At 37.3% G+C, this 27,136-nt stretch overlaps 1 long non-coding RNA gene across 1 annotated transcript in view; it reads left to right on the top strand.

The window, feature by feature from the left end:
* The window catches only part of STXBP5-AS1 (STXBP5 antisense RNA 1), a 363,227-nt gene that overhangs the window by 82,932 nt on the left and 253,159 nt on the right, over positions 1–27,136 (top strand). The window contains exon 4 of the long non-coding RNA NR_034115.1: positions 2,206–2,266. This is a non-coding gene — a long non-coding RNA (STXBP5 antisense RNA 1). The remainder of the gene's footprint in view (positions 1–2,205; positions 2,267–27,136) is intronic.

Here is a 27,136-nt window from a genome sequence, read left to right as displayed (position 1 = left end):
ACATTTTTAAGTAGAGAAGTTTCTTTCCCTCCCACTTAGCTCCTCATTTCTGTAGCCCACATCTTGTTCAGCCTTCTTCACCTTGTGGTCCAGGTAAAGGCATTTGAATGCCAACCATGTTCCAGGCCCCTGACTAAATACTTTATGTAGTTTTCCTTATTAAAAATCTATAACACTGTCAAGAAGTAGTATTATCCCCAATTTACAAATGAAACTGAGGCCACTCAGCTAATAAGTGAAGGAGTTAGAGTTGAAATGTAGGCAAGTCTAACAATAAAGCTTGTCCTCTTTCTGGCACACAAGACCCTATCCTTTATGTTTCAGACTCTCTGGTCTTATCAGAGTTTCTTGGGGTTGACTTGGAATGCCCTTTGTAGGAAGTAGAAGTGGTCATTTCTTTCCACCCTTACATGATAAAATTTTCCTAGGAGTCCTTAAATTATAACACTGCCATCTTTTCTTTACAGCATTGCCAAAAGTGGAATGAGGTAGTGGGACCAGAAAGGAGGCTAGAGGCCATGCCCTGCAACAGTGGCTCAGTTACACTTCCCTTGATACCTGTTTTGACTTCATAATCCTTTGTCTTACAATTTTGGTGGCATTTAGGTAAAGCCTAAATGTGAAAGTGGATGGTTTAGTTTTCCTGATGGAAAATTTAATTTAGCTCTCCAGTATGTTGCTTGTAGCCTGTTTGTAGATATAATTGTTTACTTAATGAGGATGCATCCTTTCAAAGCACTGCCTTTAAAATGAATTTCCATAGATTTACATAAATTCCCTGGGGATCACTATAATGTGAGCAAAGAAAGAATTGCCCAGCTGTGCACTGATTTAATGGAATTATGACACTTTGGGGCATGGGCTCTGAAAAATATATCTGGGGGAAATAGTCACTCAAACTGTTGGAGAAATAATCCCTTAAGTGAATTTTCTCTCATTCCAATAGAAGATTTTAGAAGCCAGCATCAACCCAAGGCTTAAAAAAAAAAATTTGTCTTAAGAAAAGCTTGTGAAAATGCTGTTCATTTAAGAAATAATTGGTTTTATTTGAGAATGGATGTTAATAATTTATTATAGCAATTTTTGGGTAGAGGCATTGATTTAAAAATAGTTTGGTTTAAAATGAAGAGAATTAGCTAATGCCCAATATTTCATGCTGTCAAAACTTGAAACTAGCAGCATCCTCAATACATTTACCCTTAAATGTAATGAGGGTTCCACACCTCATCAGGGCCAGAGTTTATTAGTGTTGCTTTCTATGTCCTTCACACCTTAATCATTGTTGGTGATGTTTAAAAATCCAAGAGGTTATCTGTTTAATGGGCTCAAGGGTTTTATCTATTCAACTTACCTTGCATCTTTCTTTAGATGGTGGTGTCTCAATTATGTGGTTTTATACTCTATGGCTGGTTCTATAGGTCAGTTACAATAATAATAAGGGTAAGATCTTATGATTCCCTTGGCATGGGAACATAGTACTGTGAATTACGTCCTTTTCAAGATAATAGCTCATCTTTAGCCAGCTGTCTATAAATGCATATCTTTGGTTTAAGGGGACTTATTCAAGAATATGAATTGATCAATATTAATTTATATTATGTGTTGGAAAAACAACCACTGATATTGAGTCAATAGGTTCACCTTTGTGTATGAATACATAAATCCGTCAATAAATATTTAGCAATATATAGAAAATTCTCTGTGGGAGAAGCAGAAAAGGAACAGATATTGTTTTCATGGCATCAAGGAGTGTTTAGCATCCATACAAAAAAATAACAACAATAATAATTCACACATATTGTACATTCATTATGAACAAGGATTTTTCTTTCATTATTTCATATAAACTTCAAAGCAACCTTATGATACAGGCACACTGATTATCCCATTTTACAGAAGAAAACAGAGGCACAAAGAGGTTAAATTACTTGCTTCACAATTAGTGTGTAGGGTAGCTGGGCTACCAACCTTGAAACTTTGACTCCATACCTTATGTTCTTTTTAAAATTCAATTCTTACTTTTTTATAATAAAATATGCATATCATACCGTTTTAACTATTTTTAGTGTGGATTTCAATGGTATTAAGTACATTCACACTGTTTTGCAAGCATCATCACCATTATCTCCAGAACTTTGCTCATCTTTCCAAATTGAAATACTGTGTCTATTATGCAATAACTCCTAATTTCCCTCTTCCCTCCAGCCCCTGGCAAACACCATTCTACTTTCCGTCTCTATGAATTTGACTACTCGAAGTACCTCATGTAAGTGGAATCATATACTATTTGTCCTTTTGCATCTGTCTGATTTCACTTAGCACGTCTCTGGAGTTCATCCATGTTATAGCATTTATCAGAACTTCATTCCTTTTTAAGGCATAGATAGGTGGCTTCCACCTTTTGGCTGTTATGAATAATATGCCTCTATGAACATGAGTGTTTCAATGTCTGTTTGAGTCCCTACTTTCAATTCTCTTAGATGTGTCTGTTTTCTGTTGCTGTAAAAGAATACTATAGACTGGGTAATTTATAAAGAAAAGAAACTTATTTATTACAGTTATGGAGGCTGGGAAGTCCAAGGGCATGGCACAAGCATCTGCTTGGCTTCTGGTGAGGGCCTTTTTACTCAGTCATAACATGGTAGAGGCAAAAGGACTAGAGAGGATGCAAGAAAGGCAAAAGCCGAGAAAGCTGAGGAAGCCGAGCTTGCTTTTGTAACAATCCACTCTGTGACAATTAATCCATTTCCTCAAAAACTAAACAAGTCTTTCAAGAAAGACAATCTACCTTAAAGACCTGATCACCTCTTAAAGGCTCCATCCCCCATCACTGTTACACTGGCAATTAAATTGCAACATGAGTTCTGGCAGAAATGAACCACATCCAAAACACAGCAGGATATATACCCCGAAGTGGAATTGCTATACCCTATGGTTATTCTGTTTAATTTTTTGAGGAACTGCCCTACTGTTTTTTATGGTGGCTGGAGCATTTTATATTCTCACTAGTAATGCACAAGGATTCCAAGTAATTTCTCCACATTCTGGCCAAGACTTTTTTGTTTTTATTTATAGTTTTCACCCTAATTTGTATCTCATTGTGGTTTTGATTTGTATTTCATTAAGGATTATTGACTATTTGTAAATCTTCTTTAGAGAAAGTTCTGTTTAAGTCATTTGCTTTTTTTTTTTTTAATGGGAGAGTCGTTTTATTGTTGCTGAGTTGTAAAAATTATTTATATATTGTGGTTATTAATCCCTTATCAGATACATGATTTATAAATATCTTCTCCCATCCCATGGGTTGTGTCTTCACTCTGTTGATAGTGTTCTTTGATGCACAAAATTTTTAATTTTATAAAGTTCAATTTATCTATTTTTTTTAATTTTCTTGCCTGTGTTCAAACCCTATGCTCTTAATGAAGCATACAATCAAGACTGTAATGTGCGAAATTATTTGGTACCAACCATATCTCCTGATGATGAAATGAGAATGAGGGTCTGTGTTGTCGAGGAATGCAATGAAGAAAGCAATGAAGCCTAGTACATTATAGATGTGTTTAGGGCATGTTTCTTGGTGTGAGTTTATTTTTCCACAAGAACTGAAAAAAAAAAAAACGTTGATTGAACAGTATGGCATCTCCCTGTCCTTTCTTATGTATTTCTTGGGCATTTAATAGAGGACAGAAGGGTTGGAGAAGGGGTGGGTTGCCTGGTGGTGAATAGGTAGAGTTGCCCATCTCTTAGCTGAAGATACATCGTCAGGATGTTTTCTGGTAGAGATTTTATTAAACTGAATTTAAAGCAGTAAAACAAAACCTCTCTGCAGTCTCATTCACTCCCTGCCACTGGAAGCTCACTTTTCCTTGGAGCTTAACCAAGACAGAAAGTGAAAGAGAAAAAAGCAATCCTTTCTCTTGCCTTTTCTTCTCTGCCTAGAACAGCACTAAACTCTGTCCCCTGGGTATTATTGGGGCAGAGGCGATAGACAGAGAACTGATCCCATATTGTGCTCCTTCGCCTGAAGAAGGTGTTGTGTGACTTCAGAGTTCTTTTCTTCTAACTACATACCCCGACTTTTGTGTGTTTTTTCCCTCTGCTTTATAACTTAGCCCTCTTGCTCTTTTTTTTTTTTATATGTGAACTTGGGATACATGGAAATTAAACTTTTTTTCCCTTTTTCTCCCTATGTGGTTTGTGGATTATTAATTTCATGCCTCAGACTCAGAGGTTAGGCACAGATGCTGTAACAATAACAATTGGCAAAGTAAATAATAAAAAACATCATCCTTCCCATGCAAGTATAGGGATACGCCTCAAGTACTCACATTGTAGGCACATGCTTTCTCTAGGCTCTTAACATTCTCTACATTTAAGGTAACCATAAAAGGGGTTTGCAAATGTAATGGTGATGGCTTCCAAGCTGTCAGGAAGTTTGCAATACGAAGAGCTCTTTTGTAAGTCTCCTGCTAAGCCTCCATAGCCACAATATTAGATGTAATAGTTTCCTCTTCTTGCAATGGCTTGGGTAAGAGGGGTGAAGATTGTGATGCTGCTTGATTAAGCAGCAGAGGAGATGAAGATAGGAGAGCATAAGGAGGGTCTTCTAGGCTGACCTGACTGAATTTCATATGATGATCTCCCTGCCAATATAGAGACTCAGTGGTCCAGTAAACCCAGAGTTTACTCCCTGTAAACTCAGGGTTGCGGTGTCCTGGTCATCTATGGACTCCAAATGACTTCATTTCACCTTCCAAGGTCTACTCTAGCTTGACTTCAATTATCTTACACAAGGGAACAATGAGGTCTCTGTTCCATAGCAAAGGCCAAGAAGAAGATTCATTTTGAAAGATAATTTTAATAATACTATTATTCATTGTGCTAGGTGGTTAATATTTCATTAAATTCTGAGAACAACTGTAGAAAGATTTTATCATTCCCTTTTCCTAAGGAAATTGAGGCTGGGGAGGGGAGGGGAATTTGCTCACTGTAGTTCCATCTGTGACGTGCAAAGCTTGTAGTCTGAGCAGGTCTCCCGGGTTCCACAGCACCTCCTCCTTCCCTTCTTTGCCTCTATCTCTTCCTAGTCTTCTCTCTCTGGCCTTTGACTCTTATTCCTTTCAAACTGTTGTTATAGATTCCAGAAAACAAAGGAGAAACAGGGATGCTTTATATGGGACTTGTTAACTTAAATTGGAAACAATTACTGCCTTTCGGAGGAGAGAGCTGCTGTTCCTTCAGCATTTTAGAACATAAGGTCGGATATAATCCAGACATTAGTTGATGGTCCTGTCCACATGATAAATGAATCTAGTACACACTCCGTTTGATGTCATTGTTGTTTCATCCACTAGCACAGTTGACTAAGGAGATGTGAGATGCAGTTTTCACACTGCTTATGGAAACGACTGGGTGAAAGAATTGCTGCACAGGTGGAGATATGATCATTCAGCTGCAATGAGGGCAATTTGCAAGAGAGAATGCTCTTGCTCATGCTGAGGCCAATGACAGGCCTTGGATTCTCATTTCATGGCAGAAACTACTTCCTGACACATTTTTTCTTTCTGCAGCTCAGTCGTTGGCTTATTCTTACCTGTTTTTATCAGAATAATGATTTTTTGTAGTGTCAGTTTCTTGGCACAATTATTCTGCCAAATCCAGTACTCAAGGCAAATTAACAGCATTATATATTGACTTTTAGAGAGAATAGGTTTATTGTGCTCTATTTATTCTTGAATAAGCTAATTTGATACCCTCCAAAGCCCCAGTAGGGTTAGACAATACTACTAGTATATATAGTTATCCCAATAATTTAGAAAATGTTGTATTTTCCTAAATATAGCATAAATATCAGAGTTCTAATCATTTTTCAAATGATGCTTACAAAGTAATAAGAAAAAAACTCAATTTTGCCTGTTGAGAATTATAGCAGAGGTGCTTGACAACTTCCTTGGCATCTTGAAAAAAAATTGTTGTAAAAAATTTTTTTCTTGAAAAAAAAATTACAACCAGGTAGAAAGGGTTTCACTTAGTAGCTATTATCACGTGCTATTAACAGATATAAAAAGAACAACCATATTTATTTCTTAGACGGTCACTAAGTACCAGAAAAGGAGGCAGAGGGTGTGTCCTTAAGCTGTAAGGTATTTCTAAAGTTAGTGCTTTGGGTGGGGAGTGGGCATCATCTTCTTCGTCATCATAACAATAATAGCAAACAGATAGCATACCAAGGTAGTAGGCAGTATTATGAACAATCTACATGTCCTAATTCATTTACTCCTCATGGCAAACCAAGGAGGTAGAAACTATTCATGTCCTTACCTCACAGTTGAGGATACTGAACCACGAAGAGGTTAGGTCACTTGTCCATGATGACATAGCTACGCAGGAGAGCCAAGAATAAAACAGCTTGGCTCCAGAGTTTATGCTCTTACCCCCTACCCTAGATGGCAACATTTATTAGGTCATATTATATGTCATGTCACGCATTATGCTGGGCATTGTGAGGGGGGAGATAAAACTCATTCAAGGGATTTACAGTTGAACACACATGTATATAATCTGTCTCCTTCCTACCTTGAGAGGTCATTTTCAAAGTTTCTGATGGTAAGGAAAAATTTCCCCAACTGCCCATGATTTATGTGGATTTTTGTTAACAAAGAAACACTGCTCTCCATGAATGAAGTGTCATGAGGATGCTCTGAAAGTTAGAATGAAGTCTTAACAACCACTCTGCCAATGACTGTGTATTGAGCACTTCCACAAAGCAGGCATTGCACTAAATACTCGTATGTAGTCTCACAGAATACCCACAACTACATGAGCCAGGACTTTAATTAGAAAGAATCACCATCTCCAGCCCCACTCCTGCATTTGTGCTTTTGGGTCAGTTTTGTTGGATGTACTTCTACGCAGCATTCTTGCAATGTGCCTTGAGTCACAGGGAGGTGAAAGATATTCTCTTGTTGGTTTCATGGTTTCAGCTGTAAGACATCTCTTCTTACATAAAACCCAGAAATCATACCCCACACTTAAGATAGTCTGTTTTTATGAATTTTGTAGGGGAAAAAAGCCAGCTAATTTCTACACTCCTCTGATCCTGTTATTTTCATGATCACACTTCCCTGCATTTCCTAGTTTCAGTTAGGGCTGAAAACAATGTGCCAAATTGCAGGAGTGTCTATTCTCAGAGTGCTTCCCTCTCCGCAGACAGAGAGGAGGTGGCTCTTCATCTCACCCAGATCCAGAGGCTCATTGGACTTCTTGCCATCCATTAGATGTAGTAGACTCTTAGAAAATGAGCAAGCTTTAGAAACCTACGCAGAATTTGAGGGCAGTACTTAAAATGAACTTCGAAGACATTTAAAGGTTTGCCTTCTGATGCTCTTTTCTGGCTTCAGCAGCTAGAACCATGAAATGTTAAATTGGACAACACTGGGTTATAAATATCCATGATTCATATTTGAATAGCTAAAGATTTCATCGTAATACAAACAGTTCAGTTAAACTCTATGTGAAATGGTGAAAAGACCCCAATTATGAAGACTGTCTCATCTGCAAAGACCCATCTTTAGCTGTTATAAAACCCCAGTGTCAGTATTTGATAACCTTGACCATAAAGTTTGAAGAACATTTCTTTCTCTCTGCGTTGCCTCCTTATATATAAAATGTCTGCACAGGTGCAAAGAATACTAGACAAACAATTGAGAGAGAGGAGCTAAGGTGAGGACACTCTTATTTTATACTTTTGTGTACTGGAATTTTTAAAAAACAAATACATTTTACTTTTGAAATTTTAAAAGTACTTTTAAAATAAAGAGGTTGCCAGGTAAGGTGGCTCTCACCTATAATCCCAGCACTTTGGGAGGCCAAGGCGGGTGAATGACTTGAGGTTGGGAGTTTGAGACCAGCCTGGCTAACATGAAAAAACCCTGTCTCTACTGAAAATGGAAACATTAGCCAGGGGTGGTGGCAGATGCCTGTAGTCCCAGCTACTCTGGAGGCTGAGGCAGGAGAATCACTTGAACCCAGGAGGTGGAGGTTGAAGTGAGCTGAGATTGCACCACTGCATAATCCAGCCTGGACAACAGAGTGAGACTCCATCTCAAAAAAAAAAAAAAAAAAAAAAACCAAAAACAAGTAAATTGTTTTAGATTACTCAAAAGAAAAGAAACATATGCCTCCTTTGTTCTTTGTTGAGAATAAAAAACAATATTCTCAGGGGGTGTTAGCCGTTCCCTCTCACAGTCTTAACCTTCACTTGAACAAATGCCTAAATTTGCATAACCAGTTACTAAAATAATTTTCACATTAAAGCAACCATTTTTAAAGTGTCCTTTATACCTCTAGTTTCAGTCCAAGATCACTTATTGCCTTTAGTTGTCATTTCTCTCTTAGACTCATTTAATTACGAATAGTCTCTCATTCTTTTTCTCTTTCTCACTAAAGCAACCATTATTTACCTGACATACTACATGACAAAATAGTTTTAGAGTGATTTTATAATTATACTTTTCTGAAGCTGTGCTTTTGGTTGCCAAAAGTCAGAACTGCCAATCTAACGTGTATTTTTATATGTAAGAAAAGACTAAAAATAGGTGATTTTTAAAAAGTTTGTCATTTTATTGTGTCACCCTTAGTAAAATTATAGCTCCAGAGCAGATACTATAAAAACATTTTGATAGGGCAGTTTTCTATTAGCAGTATCATGTTCTTTTAATGTAAATATCAGAAATATCTGGATTACCGACACAATATAAAAGAAAAAAGGAGGCTAAAGCCTTTGGCATCTTTAAATTAAATTTGTTTCTCGTGATTACAGAAATGCAAGAACACATATGATTTAAAAAAGAAAAAGCAGTTGTTATCTATAAAAAGTTCCTGGTCTTCTCTGCCAATGTTTGGAGACAGTTTTAGCTGGGAAAAAAGTGAAGTTTATCTTCACAGCATCTGTTCACCTTTCTTTTCCCTTTCGTAAGTTGCTATTTCTGTTTCTGGAATATTTATGCATCCATGCTCTCTTTTGGAATGCTTCTGATAACCTCATTTCCACTTAGATGTTCACATCTGATAGCCTGTTGTTTTCTTTCCAGGGAATATATTTTTAAGTAAAAGGATTAAATCTCTAATGGTTGACTATTGAGTACAAGGGAACAGGGGATAATCTGGGAGAAGGTCATTTCCCAATGCCTCAGAAGTGATAAAATGAATATATATATATTAATATAAAATAATTTATATATATATAAATTAGAGTGTGCTTTACCTATCTTGGTATTCCAATAAAACACACTTTGAGAGAAAGCATATGAGTTGAATGCATCTTCTATGTATTAAATCCTGGTGATAAAATTGTCTTTTCTTACATTTTATTTTTGCTAATACCATTATTATCGTTTTAAAGTTCAGGTTTTAGCTTACAATAATTTAGAATTACTCTGAATTTAATTTTAAAAAAAGTAGCCCAAAAAATATTTTATTTCAATATCTTTGTATTTAAAACATCCAAAAACTTGGAATGGTTAAAGCATCTATTCTGAAACATTAAATAACATTAATAATAACCAGAAAAATATTAAGAATGTACAGTGTGCCAGCACTATGCTAAATTATTCTTATGGATTATGGTTTTTAATATTTGCAGAGAACTGTAGGTTGTGGGAATTATTTCCTCCTTTCCACAGAGGAGAAACCTGAAGCTTAGAGAGTCCAAGCAATTCGTTCAACTGTTAAACCAGAAAGTGGCAGAATCAGAATTTGAACCTTGTTCTGTTTCCCTCCACAGCCCTTCACTCCTAATTGTTACACTGTAGATCTAACTACATGTCTTGCCCATCCTTATTAAATGCCACCTGTGTACCAGGCACTGACCTCAGATACTTATATACATTTTCTTTCTCTTTTAATCATGCTTAAGTGGGCTGTCCAGTTTTACACAGCTTAGGAGTAGCAGAGCCAGGGCTCAGATCCACGTCTTATGATTTAAAGTTGAGTAGTGTTTCTAGCACAGGAAGCTAATCTCTCAATCAAGCCAAGTCTGATATAAAACATGGAGAAAGTTAGAGGTGGGATCTTCAGTGACAATCCACTCCAAAAACTTTCGGCCTACCTTTACAACAAAGAGAAGTATGCAGTTCTCAATTGTGCACTTACTGAGCAAGGCATTAACGTAAAGTCATAACTAAACTTTATAGTTGCCATGCATAATTTCTAAATTAAATATTATCCATTCTATATTTGAAACAATTTAGGTGAGGATATTTTGTTTTTAGCTGCTGGAAACTGATTTACTCAATGTTAAACTTTAACTGTTTAGGGTACTGTATTTCCAATAATGAATGAGGAGCAGGAATGTTTTTGTGTAATGATACAATTGATGCAGGGCAGGCAAGCCCCAAAGTGCAGCTTAGCCTGCTGAGTTCTTGGCTTTGCCCAGGACAGAATTCAAGAGCAAGCCAGAGGTAGAAGAACAGGCATTACTGAAGAGGCAGTGATCCGCCTGCTTCAGCCTCCCAAAGTGCTAGGATTACAGGTGTGAGCCACCAAGCCTGGCACACAGTGATTTTTAAACAGTCACACTTTCCAGGCTGGGTGTGATGGCTCACGCCTGTAATCCCAGCACTTTGGGAGGCCGAGGCGGGTGGATCACGAGGTCAGGAGATCGAGACCACCCTGGCTAACACGGTGAAATCCCGTCTCTACTAAAAATACAAAAGATTAGCCGGGCGTGGTGGCGGGCGCCTGTAGTCCCAGCTACTCGGGAGGCTGAGGCAGGAGAATGGCGTGAACCCGGGAGGCAGAGCTTGCAGTGAGCCGAGATTGTGCCACTGCACTCCAGCCTGGGCGACAGAGCGAGACTCCATCTAAAAAAAAAAAAAAAAAAAAAAAAAAAAAATCACACTTTCCAATGCAGTTTAAAATGTTATCTAATCGTCACTGTATTACATTCCTAGGGCTCCCATAACAAAGTACCAGAAATTGGATGACTTAAAACAACACAAATTCATTGTCTCACAGCTCTGGAAAACTAGAAGTTTGAGATCAACGTATTAGCAAGGCCTTGTCCTTTCTGAAGGCTCTAGGAACAAACCCTTCCTTGCCTTTGCAGCTTCTTATGGTTCCCGGCAATCCCTGGCATTCCTTGGTTAGAGCTGCACAACTCCAATCTCTGCCTCCATTTCCACACGGCCTTATTCCCCTTGTCTCTGTGTGTCCTCTCCTTTTCTTATGAGAATATCATCATTGGATTTTGTACCCATCTTAATCCAGTGTGACCTCGTTTTAACTAAGTACATTCTGGGGTTCCAGACATGAGTTTTGGGGTACACTAATCAACCATCTATAAAATGTTGGTGTGTGTTTAGGCACTTGTGTGGCACTCAGATCACAATGGTGAGCAAAAATCAATGTGGTTCTCGTCCTCGTGGATATTACAGTCTAGCATAGAAATTAAGTATACATCAAATAATTGTGATATCAAGAATATTGAGTTTATTAAACGATTGGTATTTCTCACAGTTTATAGCATTAATAATCAGATTACACCCAAACTCTCATCTCCAAATACCATATACCACTAAAAGAAGCCAGGGGATTTTGGTGAAAGGTCTGATTCCGAGTTTGGAGTAGGAAATAGACTAGATATCTATCTTGTTACAGAAAGGAGTAAGGAAATCAACAAAGACGACTGGATTTGTATCAAAAAGTCTTAGGAGCCAACTTGAAGAAGCTTCCTACCGGCCAAAGATGGGACAATTTGAGCATCAACAGGAAACCATTAAAACCACATCAAAACACATCACGTGTTAAAATTCATGAGTACAAAATGATATTTAAACTTTGGAGGATGCTAGGGAACCCACTTATTATTCTAAAAACTTATACTTTGTGAAAGAATCAAGCATTTAACTTGCTTTTCCTAAGTAACATCTTCAGAATAACCAGAGCTGGTGAAGATAGATTTCTATCCACAGGTGTATGTGAGCTAACATATGATGAAGGGATGACAAAGTAGTACCATATTTTAAACCTCTCAAGAGATAATAGATCTAGGCACTGATCACTGATGGCTAGCAATATCATCGAAAGAGAGACAACTGGATATGATGTGCCTCTACAAAATATTCTGTCCCAAATTTGAACTTGAATTAAGTCATGCTTCTTAGGTCTAACTACCAATTTACAGGAACGCATTAAATGACATGATAGAGAGGCAGTAACAAAATCTTAGAATATAATGAACCCTGCAGAAATCAATGATCTGGTTTCCTTAACAAGTAAAATGCCAGGAAAAAAGGGAATGAGGGCCTTTTAATGGAAAGGGATAAAAAACTGTCAAACAAATGCAATATGTGGTTGGTTTGGATTCAATTTCAAACCAGCTCAAACAAACAAACATGTATTAGACAGTAAGAGAAATTTGAACACAGAATGAATAGTTGATGATGTTAGAAAATATTACTTTCTCTTGGAGGAGCAAGGATGATGATATTTTAACTATGTTTATTTCATTTTATTTTATTTTTTTAATTTTGAGACAGGATGTTGCTCTGTTTCCCAGGCTGGAGTTCAGTGGTGTGATCACAGTTCACTGCAGCCTCGACCTCCCAGGCTCAAGCAGTCTCTCACTTCAGACTTCCAAGTAGCAGTGACCACAGACATACACCACTATGCCCAGCTTTTTTTTATTTTTTAATTTTTTATTCTTTGTAGAGACAGGGTCTCACTGTGTTGCCCAGGCTGGTCTCAAACTCCTGGGCTCAAGCAATCTTCCCACACTGTTGGGATTACAAGGGTGAGCCACTGTGCCTGGCCTGATATTTTGACTGTGTTTAAAAACAGATTTCTTATCTTTTTGAGGTGCATACTGAAATATTTATGAATGAAATAGTATAACAGTGGAGATTTGCCTCAAAATATTCCACTTGTGGAAAAAGGAAGAAGCAGATGGGAGAAAAGATGAAATAAGCAGGAGCCAAGAGCTGGGTTTTGTAGCTGGGTGACAGGTGCATGGAGACAGCATAATTTACTTTTTTTTTTTTTTTTTGGTATTCTCTCCTTTGTCAATGAGAAGTAAAAGAAGAGAAAAAACATCAATTAGAAAATAGAAAAGAGCCCTCCCTGGTGAATTCCTGCTTCTCCTCCATGTCATCATAGGTGTTGATGGTGCTTGCCTCTGGATAATGCTGACTTCCTCTAGAGTGGTCACCAAGGTAACACACTATTCTGTTGCATCTCCAGGCAGGGAACACGGCAGAGTTATGAGGTCGGGCTCCCTTGAGGTCTTTTAAGTATTGAATTATCAAGTACCATAGGAAACTGTGAAAGATGATGAAGACCACAGGAAACTGTGAATAAAGCTGTCTACCTTTGATTTTTTTATTTTTATTTTTTTGTTTGTTCTTTTTTTGTTTTTTCACTTACATGCTTCTTAAAGGAAATGGAATAGAGAAATCCCAGGAAAGAAAGTATATGGTACATGTGAAAACGGACACCATGTTTCTCTTTTTCCTGGGCATGAAGAATTTAGGCTAAAAAATAAGTCAACAGTTTAAACAATAGCTACTTGATCTTTTTTAAAAAACTCATTGTGTAAATACTATCTTCGAGTGAACAATGTTTGCTTATAACGTTACCTATATCATTGTGAATATTCCTCCTTTTCCTGAAATTAATTGCTGCTTGAAACTTAAGTCAAATTAAAGTTGAATATTAGTTTTTAAATTACTTAAGTTATTTCTATGTTGTTTGATGACTCTATAAGAAATTAAATTTATTATCGTAGAGTCTGTCAGAAATATCTTCTGGTGAAAAAGATTTTATTACGGGTTATATATACTGCTGTAGGCACAGGAGAAAAGATGATGAAAATATCAGTATCTACTTATTGCAATTTATTAAATACATGTGGCAATCATAAAAACAAAATCATAAACTTATTAAGATATACTATCAATAAGTATGCCTTAATAAAATATAAATTGTGTCAATCAGGCAAGAAAGTAAATATGCTGATAACACCTACATATATTCCAGCTTTAACCTTTCTCTTGTGCTCTAAAATGACAAATTGACTTTTGGACATTTCCACCTGGATGACCTTCCCACAAACAATGACAAATCGATACACTTAATTGAGTTCAATTCTGCTTTTATTTATTGAACCCCTTTCAGGAGATGTGTTAGGAGCTGAAGACATAGAGATAACTAAGATATAGCCTCTGATCTGGAGAGGTCACAAATAAAACACAATTGGTTTTTCACCAAAACTTTCGCTTTCTTTTGAGCTTCCTGTCTTAATTGATGGCAGCACACAATCCCCAAAGCTAGAAACGTTTGAATCATCTTTGACACACTTTGCCTCACAAACAGCATTCAACCCATTTCCAATTCTTTCTGATTTTGCTTCTAAAAATTATCTGATTCTATATCCTCTCTTTCAGTTCTGTTAGTGACTCACTTTGCACTTGATTATTTTTCTCCCGGACTATTGCAACAGCCTCCCAGCTGATTCCTCTGCTTTCAAACTGTTCCCTTTCCCTGCACCCACCCACTGCCCCACTGGAGTTGCTTCGTGCAAACAAAGATCATACTCTATCATTCTTCCGCGATACAACCTTTCCTAAATACATTCTGTGCATCTTTGAAATCTGCAGGAATTTCTGCAAGGGGTCACACGAAGGCCCACAGAGGACATGCAGGTGACCCTAGGGAGAGAAGAGCCGGTACTCTATTGAAAGGGACAGAACTACTCCACTCCAGCCCTGTGGCAGTGCAAGTCCAGTTTTGTCTAAACTTTTTTTTTTTCCATCAGAAGCTAGAAATTCTGATTTCTTACTGGTATCTCTTTGTTTTAAAATGTTGGCATGTATTTTAAAACCACTCTGTGGGCCAGTTTGTGACCCCCTGCTTTTGTGCCTGGAACCTCACCTCATTTTGTAGTGTTGCAAACTTCTATTCATCTGTTCTCAGGACACAAATCAAATGTCCCTTCTCTAATCCTCATCTAAATTAATAGCTCACTAGTTTAAACTTCTGTAAATTAAGAGAGTTTATTCTGCCAATGACTCAACAAAGAACTAGCAAAAATGGTATGTTAAATGGTATGTTATGGATAAGCCAACCCAGGCATTGGATGGAGAAAACGAGCACAGAAATGGATAAAAATATATTAATTGTCTTAATTATTTAATATAAAAGTAACTATTTTAAAAAATGCTAAAACCAAAATGCTCAAAGACAAGATGTCCAGGACTGCTTTGGTTTTCTTCAGGTAACTAAGGTAGTCATGAGAATGGAAACAGAATAATTGTTGATTTTGTTCAAAATATATAGATAAGTAAAACTAAGCAACTAAAAAGACAAAATCTATAACTTCAAAACTAATGGAAGAAAAATGAAGAAAATAAATTATATATGCAGTGGAAGATGAAAAAGAAGATGGAAAAATCAAGAAAAAATGGTGAACAGAAAACAAAATAAAATAGTACACATAAGTTCAAATACATTAGTTTTTATAATAGATGCAAATAGATCAGAGTCTTCTATTAAAATATAGAGTTTATCAAAGTGGGTTTTAAAAAATTCAGCTATAATTTATGAGATAAACTTAATACAAACTATATTAAAAAGGTGAAAATACAAGGATCAAAAGAGACGCATCATGAATATACTAACCTAAAAAAGTCGATACAGCAATATTAGTATCAGTCAAAAACAGAAATTTAAGGCAAGGACATAAATAGTGAAACAGAATGATTTTAAATGATGATAAAATGAACATTCCATCAAGAAGGTAGAATAATAGGCCGGGCACGTGGCTCATGTTTGTAAGGACTCCCAGCACTTTGGGAGGCTGAGGGGGGACGATAGCTTGAGGTCAAGAGTTTGAGACCAGCCTGGTCAAGATAGTGAGACTCTCATCTCTACAAAAAATTTAAAAAAAAGGTAGAATCATGAACTTATACACTTCTAATAACATAGTCTTGAGCAACCAAGTACAAATTGATTTAGACGAGAAATGGACAAATCTGCAATCACACTGGATTATATATATCTGTATCTATATCTACATCCATCTATCTGTCTTCTGTCTATCAATCAGAAACAGAACTAAATGTGCCAAAGGTTAATGAGGATTAGCAAATCTGAACACAATTGACAAGGTTGATCTGTATAGATTATTATACACATATGTACATAAAATCTCCTATGCAATATTAAAGAATATGCGTTCTTTTTAAGTTTACATTGAATGTTTATAAAAACTGACCATGAAAAAGTCATAGCACAAGGGAATATCTACAATTTTAAAAAATTGAATTCAAAGAGGCTAGAATCTCTAAACAACGCAGTTACATTAAAAACAAGACAGTTTTTAAAATCTATTTTTTTAAAAAGTGCTTTGATATATTTGGAAGTAAAAGCATTAAAATTGAGGTCCAGCTTTTAATTCTTTCCCAATGTGTACCAATACCATTTATGGATTAAAAATGTTACCTTTTTATGTGAACTATTTCCACGTGTATTTGGGTATTGTATTGAACTCTGTGTTAGACCCTATCAGTAAAACAGTACCAAATTAGCCTTGAAGCTCTGTGATATGTTTTAATGGGCTAATTTCACCATATTATTCTTTGTAAGAATTTTCTGGAATGTGTATTTTTCCTGATTACTTTAAATATTATCTTGTAAAGTTTCAGAAAAAAATTAATTGAATTTTAAAGTTGACTGCGTGAGATTTTTCTATCAGTTTAGGAATAATTGCTATTTTTACAATGCTGAACCTAACCTTCCTATTCAAGAACAAGACTTGTCTTTCAATGCGTTTAAGTCATTTTTGTTCCTTAGTGGCATGTAAATGGTTTTCTTATATAGGTCTTGTGTATTTCTTGTTAACTTATTTTTAGATATTTTAATTTTTTGGTTGCTGTTATTACTGGCCTCTTCCCTTTTATTGCATTTTTCTTCTTCTTTTTTTTTTTTTTTTGCATTTAGACAAACAGGAACTAATGTCTGTTGTTTTTAACTAGGCACATTATTGAATTCTCTAATTGTTTATAGTCTCTTGCAGTTGGTTCTCTTAGATGTTCCTGTCTTAACTCTTATTTCTTGCTCTTCCCTCACTGCATTAACTCATTGCCTCCAGGAAACAATGGTTAAAGAAGTCAAATAGTAGTGGTGCTGGCAGGATCTTTCTTTTGCTCCTTATTTTAGTGAGAATGCTTCTACCCTTTCACCACTAAACACTCCCCTTCCCAGTTAATCAATAACAAACAAACAAAAAAAGGCAGCATTAAAAATCAGACAATATAATTTTGACCAATTAAGACTAAATTATCTGTTATATCCATATATATAAATACTATAAATTCATCTGATAAACTTAATTTTCAGATTAGATCAAAAAACCGAACTAAATACTTAATACAAAAGACATATTCAAAAAAAGTAATTCAAAGAGGTTAAAAAGGCAGACAAGAAAATAGAAAGTAAATGCTAAGCAATAAAAGATGGAGTTATGATATTAATATCAGACCCTCAAGGCAAAAGTATTAATGAGACGCTGAAGTGTATTTTAAGAATAATAAAGGGGAAAATCCACAAATGGATGTAACTGTTTTAAAATGTATGCAATAAATACCAAAATGAGAAGCCAAAGCTGGCATCAGGCTCTACCATCTTTGTGAGGTGTGTATACCCTATACCATGATCAGAGAAAACAAAACCAAACCACAAAGCTTCATCTTAGATAAACCACAAAATATAAGAACAATGAGTTTCCTCAAGAAATAAAGCCATGAGGCCCTTTCCTGTAAGTTTCTGACCCCATGGGAGACCAACTTTATCTCTGACATCTAAAGATATACAGTAATTCCTGCAGATATGATAATCATGTGAGGGAGAACATCCTTTCACCACCAAGGAGAAAAATGAACACACTGTAACTTCCTGAGCATTTTGTATTGCTTTGAATATTGGCTCCTTCCTCTATTCAGGAAACTCAGTTTTTCTGAAGGCTGAGCTCCCCTGAAAACATTACAAATAAAAATATTGTTCTTAATGATCAAATTTTTCTTTGAATTTTAACTTTTTTCTAAGAAATATGATTTTGCTCTATTGTCCAGGCTGGAGTATAGTTGCAGGATCATGGTTCTCTGCAGCCCTGACCTCTTGGGCTCAAGCAATCCTTCCTCCTCAGCCTCCCTAGTAGTTGGAGACCACAAGTACATGCCACCGTGCCCAACTAATTTTTTAAAAATTATTTTTTGTAGAGATGGGGTCCTACTACATTGCCCAGGTTGGTCTTGAACTTTTGGCCTCAAGCAATCCTCCCACCTAGGCCTCCCAAAGTGCTGGGATTACAGGCATGCGCCACCACACTCAGCCCAATTTTTTTTTATTGTAACATCAAAGTATATAAAGCATGAAAAGTAGAAAATGTAAGGAGAAATGGACAAAAGCAGGATGATGATGCAATACGAACTCACCTTTTTTGACCCATGACAAATTAGGGAGATAAAAATAAATAAAGATGCATACCATTGGAAAAAAAGCATTATAGTGATATTCAAAAATATACTTTTGTTACTTCTCAACTTCATCATTGTTGATTGCCCATAAGAAAGATGAAGATATTGATGGACTTCAACTGCTTTCTCCCACTAACTCCACATTTTTAGTTGTTTGTATTGCTATTGTTGAATAAGTTAAATATTGCTAAATTATTTAAATTTGGCATTTCCTTTATAATCCTATTTTGCACACATCTATTTACTGCTCATCGCTAATCCCTTGGCATGGACTCTCCAGTCATCTCTTACCTGGTTATCAAGCAGCATCCTTTTTTGCAAGAAGCACTTGTAGGTCCTCTCTCCTCTAAGTTCTCAACAGTTTGACAGTCTCCATCTAAGGATACTGTAGTTGTTGAGAGTGTAGTGTTGGTAGAGAGCTGCTTAGGTTTGAATCTAGCTTTGCCACTCACTATGTGACCTTGAGCAAGTAACTTTGCTTGAATTTCTTTATTCTTAAAACAGGGAAGTCTATATGTGCTCTTGTTTGTTGGCCCAGTCTATTTCAGCCCCAGATTCACTCTCAGCCCTGCCCTACCCCATTCTATACCCCAGAGGGAAGGCTGACCTCTGCTCTTGGCATCATCTGGACTGGTTGACCCACTGGCTTCCAACTGGGTTTGCCCAATGGGAAGCACCTGCAGCGAATCAGAGGGTGGGAGGAGAGAAGTGGGCATTATTTCCCTGATTTCTCCCCACTTCAGGTGCCTGTCTTGGGGAGTAACTGTACCCCTTGTGAGGATGGTTCTTGGAGGTGACCACTCCTTCAAGGATCCAGTGCTCCTTGAATGCTGATAACACGTTAATGGTATTCCACTGCTCCTCTTCCCTGGATACCCCACCAGGCCTTCTTCCTTGAACCCTGACTAACTTTCTAAGCATTGCCTTTATTAAAGTTTCTTCATTTGAAGTATTTGGGTCGAACTGTGTTACCTGTCAGAATCCTTATTGACACAGTACTCAGGGTCAGGAATGACCTTAAAAATAGAATTCTGATAAACCCTGATTTCTCAAGGTTGCTTAATACCCTAGGCAAATTCATGGATGACCTCTATTCTTGAGAACACACAACACTTAGCAGTAGGTATGTGATGTGGCATCATTGTCTCTTGAATGGTCATCCTAGTGGTGTGAGATGGAGAGCCAGCAGAGGACAAGGCTTTGGAAAGTCACCAGACTGTTGTACCCCTGATATTGTCACAATGATGACGACACATGTTTCAGGTGGTATAAGTTACTTGACTGTGCCAGAGAGCTTGTGTAAAGACAAATATTAGTATATTGCTTTATCTTCAATTCAAGACAAAAGTAGAGAACCAGAAAGCTTCTATGGAGGCCTTAAGAGAATCCCTTATTGCCTATAGCTGCAGCACAGACATGAATAAGGATTAGACCTAAAATCGAATTATGTGGTTGCAGAATTCCAACTCCAGTTAAATGCACAACTTTCAGAAATCTCTTGTGTTAAAGTTAGAACCCAGGATGAGAACAAATGAGATTCTGAGACTTAAGATAGAGACATTTGTGCAGACACAATTGTGTACAGTAGTTGCTTACTATTTGCTGAGCAGGTAAATGCCCACTGATGACTATTAACTGAGAGATACTCGAGTCTGAGTTCACCAGGTCCCATTTCTTTCTACCTATTTGACCTGGGAGAATCGTATCCTGAATCTTTCTCTGCTCTAGCCTCCCCACTTGTGCCTGGGTGACTATAGGTCCAAGTTTCATATCCATAAGTCTCAAATTCGGAAGGCTCCAAAAACCTTATCATTTTTGTAAATTCGGCACAAACACATTTGGTGGCAAAAACTGACCTGATCTCAATTGATATGAGTTATGTATAGAATTAATTTTTCCAACATAGTGTGAATATTCATAGACTTCACTGCAAAAATTAACATATTTGAATATAGGGGGCTTCTTCAGGACTTGTGAATTTTATGTCTTATATAGCACATCTATCTCATTCCCTTTCTAAAAGCTGGAAAAAAATGAATTTTGAGAAACATTTGGCTCCAAGGTTTTTGAATATGGAATTGTTTACCAATAATAGTACCTAACTTATTGGGTGGTTGTGTGGACTCAATGAATTAATACATGTAAGGCTCTAGTGACAGGCACACAGTAAATAATAAATGTTCACTTTTTAAGTGAATACTTTTTAAGTATTATAAAACCTTTCCCCCGCTGATATTGTGGGAGTGAGAACTGTTTAACTCCTTTACCATCTTATTTGAGACTGCTTATATCATTGAGAACTTGGCATGAAGGCTGGGTAAAGTGGGTTGTGCCTGTTTTCTGTTGCTAGAGGGGCAGGGAAGAAAAGGAGAATTGATCAGGACTTGGTTTGTGAATCTGATCTTTGCTTTCACTATTCCAAGTTGGATTAAAGCCCTGGCCAGAGTTTACTACAACTATCTTGAGGTCTTGTCCAAGGCTGAGGGAGATACCCAGCTTGGGGTGGAGCCTGGAATCTGGTTTGCACAGAGACAAGATGCACTTCTGCCTCTTCACGTGTGTCTCCTCAACTGCTGTTCCTACTTCCAAAAAATAGGTGAAACTTGAGGGCCGAACCCACAACATTATCATTTGCTGGGAGAGAGTAGCACTGCAACTGGGGTCGTTTGTGTTGCTTCTCACCCTGGACCTCTCACACCATCAGTGGTGCTTATTCTATTTCTCTTCTGTTCATATTTTTTTGTTTTTAATCTTCTGTTTTGCAAGATACATATATTTTGTTGGCTATAATTAGCTCTAGGTGATTGTGAATAGACTGCGTTTTGTCTGCAGCTTCGTTCTCAGCTAGGAAAAACAACAACAAAAGACACAAATAGTGAGCTCTGGATATTTTTTTTTACTGATTCTGGAGAGACACTGGTGGGTTTTTATGTTTGTTTTCTTTGGCTTTGGATGCCTTTAGTCTTATTCCTGCTTTGGAAGTATTACACATATCTATGTTATGCATAGGCCCAGCAGCATGGACTTCCCCTTCCCAAGGCTAATCTGGCTGCCACTATTGCTGAGTGTCAAACCTATCTACAGCACAGGCCAATACTAAGCTCCTAGTATGGCTCCATTCTTTAGGGGAATGAGCGAGACACACTGATAAATTTAACATGTTGGCTTCTTACCATTATGGAGGGGGAAGCTATCTTTACAAGAGTCACATTCTGGATAAAGATCATGCTTCTCATAATGTGAGCAGAAGCTGTATCTCTTCGTTTGTTTGATGAATACTGATTATTTTTTTTTTTTTTTTTGAGGTGGAGTCTTGCTCTGTCACTCAGGCTGGAGTGCAGTGGCACAATCTCGGCTCACTGAAACCTCCACCTCCCGGGTTCAAACGATTCTCTTGCCTTAGCCTCCTGAGTAGCTGGGATTACAGGCGTGCGCCACCACGTCCAGCTAATTTTTGTATTTTTAGTAGATATGGGGTTTCACCATGTTGGTCAGGCTGGTCTCAAACTCCTGACCTTGTGATCTGCCTGCCTCGGCCTCCCAAAATGCGAGGATTACAGGCGTAAGCCACCACGCCTGGCCCTGATTTATTTTTTATGTCTTGTTTTACCTAAAATTTATAAGTTTCTTTAGTTATGCTGGGAGAGAATCTGTGATGGTTTCACTCTGCCAACTTACTCTGAAAATCTCATCTACTGCATTATCTGTTACAGTAAGAAGGCATGTTGCCCTAGAGGGCAGTTCATAGGAATTCATGGATAACTGTAATTAGACACAGGGTGATTAAATTTGTGTGTGTGTGTGTGTGTGTGTGTGTGTGTGTGTGTGTGCAGAAGGAAGATGGAAGAAGTCCACAGATTTGAGCCCTGCTAAGTGGCACAGCAACTTTACCCAACTAAGTTGCACCGATCATTCCCATTTATACTACTCATTTTTCTTGAGCACCTACTATGAGCTGGGGATCTGCAGATAGAGCAGAAGGATGAAAGAAACATAAATTCCTAATTTTATTTCTATTGGAAAAAATAAACAGGCAATAAACAAATATGTACATCATGTAGCTTATTAGAAAATGTAAGAGCTATGGAGAGAAATAAATCAGGGAAGGCTGAGAAGCTTCCTCATGGACAGGGGGAGGTTGCAATTTGCCCTACTTGGGAAAGTCCTCACTGAGAAGCTGTTAGTTGAGAAGATTTAAGAAGTAGAAGGAAGCAAATCATGCACATTTCTGGGGAGAAGAACATTCCAGGCAGAGAGAATAACAAGGTAACATTTTGTTTCTCCTCCTTTCTTCTGGATATAGCAGAAAAAAAAATCCCTTTAATGATCTGAGCTGTTCAGAAAATTGTTTCAATTCTTCACTTTACTATCCATGTATTACATAGCCTGAAGGGGCTGCATACTTTAGAGCAATTATTTATAATAAAAATTTTAGTATATCTTTTGGCTATACAAGAATGAGTATGCATAAATCAGTAACTGTCAATACATGTTCTGATAGCTTTAACTTGCTACTTATTTTTGAGTTACCACCTGCAGGTGGTTGGTTTGAAGCCCAGGCAGAGGAGCAGAGTGGTCCTCTGCAGAGACATGCTTTGTGAGCTTGCAGAAGATCTGCCAGATTCTTTCAAGCAAAAGTGTGTTGCTCTTTTCTGTTTGTATCTTGGTCCCTCTTTTAATGGCCAAATGGTGGTCCAGATTTGAATTGTGATTTCTTCTCTAGTCTTTGCAATGATCTACTTTAGAAAGCAGAGGAAGATAATCTAAAAAGAAATATAAACTTTTGCTCCAGTGGTTTGGATGGTTTTACCAGCTGATATCAATCTGAAAGTAAATTATTCTCTGGAGAATATATGCATGTTGCTTTTTTTGAGAAAGGATTTAATAAATAACTTTCAACCTATGTCTGGTTCTTCTTGAAAAAGACATCAATAATACAGTACTTAGAATTTAAAATAATGACCTAAAAATAGCTGAGAGACTGTACTCCCATTTGGGAAAAAATCACTATAATATTATTTTTTTTCGAATCTCATGCTGAGCATTACATAAAGCAAAACCAATTCACAATAACTCAGTATATTCTGAAGCGAAATCTCTAGTCATTTCCAGCTCCAGACCCTGGAGATCTCATTATATTGACATCCAAAACAGACCTGCTCCAAGCTGTTTGCAAGTGAGTTAAACAAGCAGCACAGAGATGGCCATGCAGATATATTCACTAGTTGCTGGTACATATATTCACATGTACAAATACATCCCATGCACCTCACTTTATGGAATACATATATTTTTGAAAAATTGTGTTCTAATTTGATTGTATCTTAAAGGTTTTACACCATTGATTCTCACAGGGCACACTCCTCGACCAAGTTTCTCAGAATCATTGGTATTTGTGGAAATTCTAGGTTACACTCCAGCCCTATTCTATTATATCCTTTGAGGAAGAATGTGTCTTCTCCTTCCAAACCCCTGGTTTCCACTGAGGATAAGAATCTCCACTCTAAGGAATTACTGTTCTTGTTTGGAGAATGTGACGGATCACAGAAATGTTGGCATGAACACAAGGTTGAAAACTATAGTGAGGCTTCCTTCTCTGTAGTTTTACAGAATCTGGTCTGAACTTCAATCTTAAGGCACATACCACAAGACAGTGTAATTCTTTGTTCCACATGTATAGACCCTACCTACTAGGAGCATCTTGAAGACAGAGTGGCAATTGCTCACTTTGTAATACCATTTACATAGCAACTGCTTAACAAATATTTATCAAGTAGATGAATGAATAATTTTGAAGGTATTACATTTTGGCTGGGCGTGGTGGCTCATGCCTGTAATCTGAGCACTTTGGGAGGCTGAGGCAGGCGGATCACCTGAGGTCAGGAGTTCGAGACCAGCCTGGCCAACAGAGTGAAACGCCATTTCTACCAAAAATACAAAAATTAGCTGGACGTGGTGGCACACGCCTGTAGTCCCAGCTACTCGGGAGGCTGAGGCAGGAGAATCACTTGAATCCAGGAGGAGGAGGTTGCAGTGAGCAGAGGTCATGCCACTGCACTCCAGCCTGGGTGACAGAGTGAAACTCCATCTCAAAAAAACAAAACAAAACAAAACAAAACAAAAAAACACTGCATTTTGAGAAATCAAAGATTAGCTTGAGCCTTAAGGGATTTAAAATTAATTAGCAGAATTAAGCATACTTATGTACAGAGGAAAAACAAATCTTGGGTTAAAACACATCAGTTTTCTAAGGAGAATAAATCCTACTACATGAGACACCATTTTAATTTGCTGAGCACCTTGATGTATTTGCATATGCAAATATGAGGCTGATGCTGATTTTGAGATTAAAACCTGGAAGGAATTGAATTGCTCCACCAAATAGAATTTTTAAAAAATGGGAGTTTCTAGTAGGTGTTCCAGAAGGGAAGGGGGAGGAATTGAGGATGACAGATGGGGATGGGTGAGAGCAGAAAGAGAGAAACCAATGAAGTAAAGATGGGAGCTGCAAAGTGTGAAATGGCCTGTGACACCCCCGATATAAATCCCTAGATTTTAATATTATGTTACTCTTTTTGAATTGCTATGAAGTAGACCCTTGCTGTGTCTTCTCATTTAGTAATGACTGTTCAATCCAGATCTGTGACTACAAGGTATACACGCTCATTTGATATACAATATATGTACATATTTCTGAATCAATATGGTACAAAATAGCAACTGACTAGGCATTTTTATAACTGTGATACAAATCTCTTCTGTTTTTGAAACTTTTGGTAAAGTTTGTCATTTACACAAAAGCTTATGTGAGTGGGGTTTATTTGCTTATTTGGTTGGTTTTGTTTTGTAGACATCAGGAAAGGGGCTGAGTTCCACTTCTGGATTGACCAGAGGCAGAATTAGAATAGCAGCATAATAGAAACAGCATGCATAGGAGAGGAAGATGACCCACATCTGAATTAAGTCCACAGAAGAAGGGTTTCAGAGCCAGAGATGTCTGTGAGCACAAAATTCCCCCAGGAATTGATTGGAATCTTGTGGTATGTCAAGGACTGGCAAGAGTGGGGTTTGAGACACACTCGGATAGATCTTAATGGGTAGATAGGATCTAGCTGACATCTGAGTTACAATATACGAAAAGAAGAAATTGAAATTACAATGCAATATATTATAAGTGGCAGATAAATGGCAGATAGATAAATAGTAGAGAAGTTCAAAGTCAGGGAAGCCATTTGAGCTGAGACAGATGGAAAGGTTGCTTGAAGGAGTCAGGACTCAATGTGAATCTTGTGAAAGAAAAGATTTCTGATAAGGGATTCTTATTCGTAATATTTATTATGCTAACCCTCTTTTATTTTCTCATAAATATTTATTTGGCTTCTAGACTATGTCAGTCAGTATGCTAGACTGTCCAGATATAGAGATCATTAAGACGTAATCTTTGTCCCCAAGGAACACAAAACCTAAGGGCAAAAGTGATTTCATAAGCAAGTAATGATACTATCTTACAATAGAATGAGTCCCATACCGATATATGAGCAAAATCCTATGAAAGAACACATATGGGGATAATGCTTTCTGCTTGGGTTATTTTAGGGAGGATTTCACCAGGAACTTGATCTATGAACTGGGTCTTGTGTGATGCATGGACTATGACTCATTAGAGAATAAGAAAGGGTATTTTAATCAAAAGGAATCACGTGAGCAAATCTAGGAGACTTGAAGCATGCGGGTTGGTAAAATATGGCAAAGTCCAATGTGGCTGAAGAACAGGGAGAGTGTTAGGAGAAGACAAGGAGCTGAAAAGTTTGGCATTATTTATAGGTAGCAAGGGGTCATCACAGGTTTCTTAGTTGGAAAGCATAGTTGAATTCATTTTGGAGAAATGATTGAATGGGGACAATGGCAACAAAAGAAGATAATTTAATGGCTACCATTTGCCTATATTTACTTGCTAAGTACATTCTAAATATTTGACACATATTAACTACTCACAGCAATGCTAAGAGGTAGATCCTATTTTTTTTAACTTTTATTTTAAGTTCAGGGGTACGTGTGCAGGTTCGTTATATAGGTAAACTCCTGTCATGGATGTTTGTTGTACAGATTATTTTGGCATCCAGGTACTAAGCCTAGTACCCAGTAGTTATTTTTTCTGCTCCTTTCCTTCCTCTCACCCTCCACCTTCAAGTAGGCCCCAGTGTCTGTTGTTCCCCACTTTGTGTCCATGAGTTGTCATCATTTAGCTTCTACTTATCAGTGAGAACACGCACTATTAGGTTTTCTTTTCCTGCATTAGTTTGCTAAGGATAATGGCCTCCTGCTCCATCCATGTTCCTGCAAAGGACATGATCTCATTCTGTTTGTATGGCTGCATAGTATTCTATGGTGTAAATGTACCACCTTTTCTTTATCCAAGGTACATATTGTTATTAATCTCATTTTATAGATGAGAGAACTGCTATACTGGTTCTGTAGCAAATAAGTGGTGGACTCAGGTTGGATTTCATCCTGTCTGATCGCAGAATATGTACTCTTAAATGCTACAGTGAACTGCTTCTTAAAATTATGAAACCAAGGCAAAAGTTCAAGATGGAGATTATGAG

This window comes from Homo sapiens, chromosome 6 (genome assembly GCF_000001405.40).
Source record: "Homo sapiens chromosome 6, GRCh38.p14 Primary Assembly".
NCBI lineage: Eukaryota > Metazoa > Chordata > Mammalia > Primates > Hominidae > Homo > Homo sapiens.
This window is presented reverse-complemented; position numbering and strand designations above follow the sequence as displayed.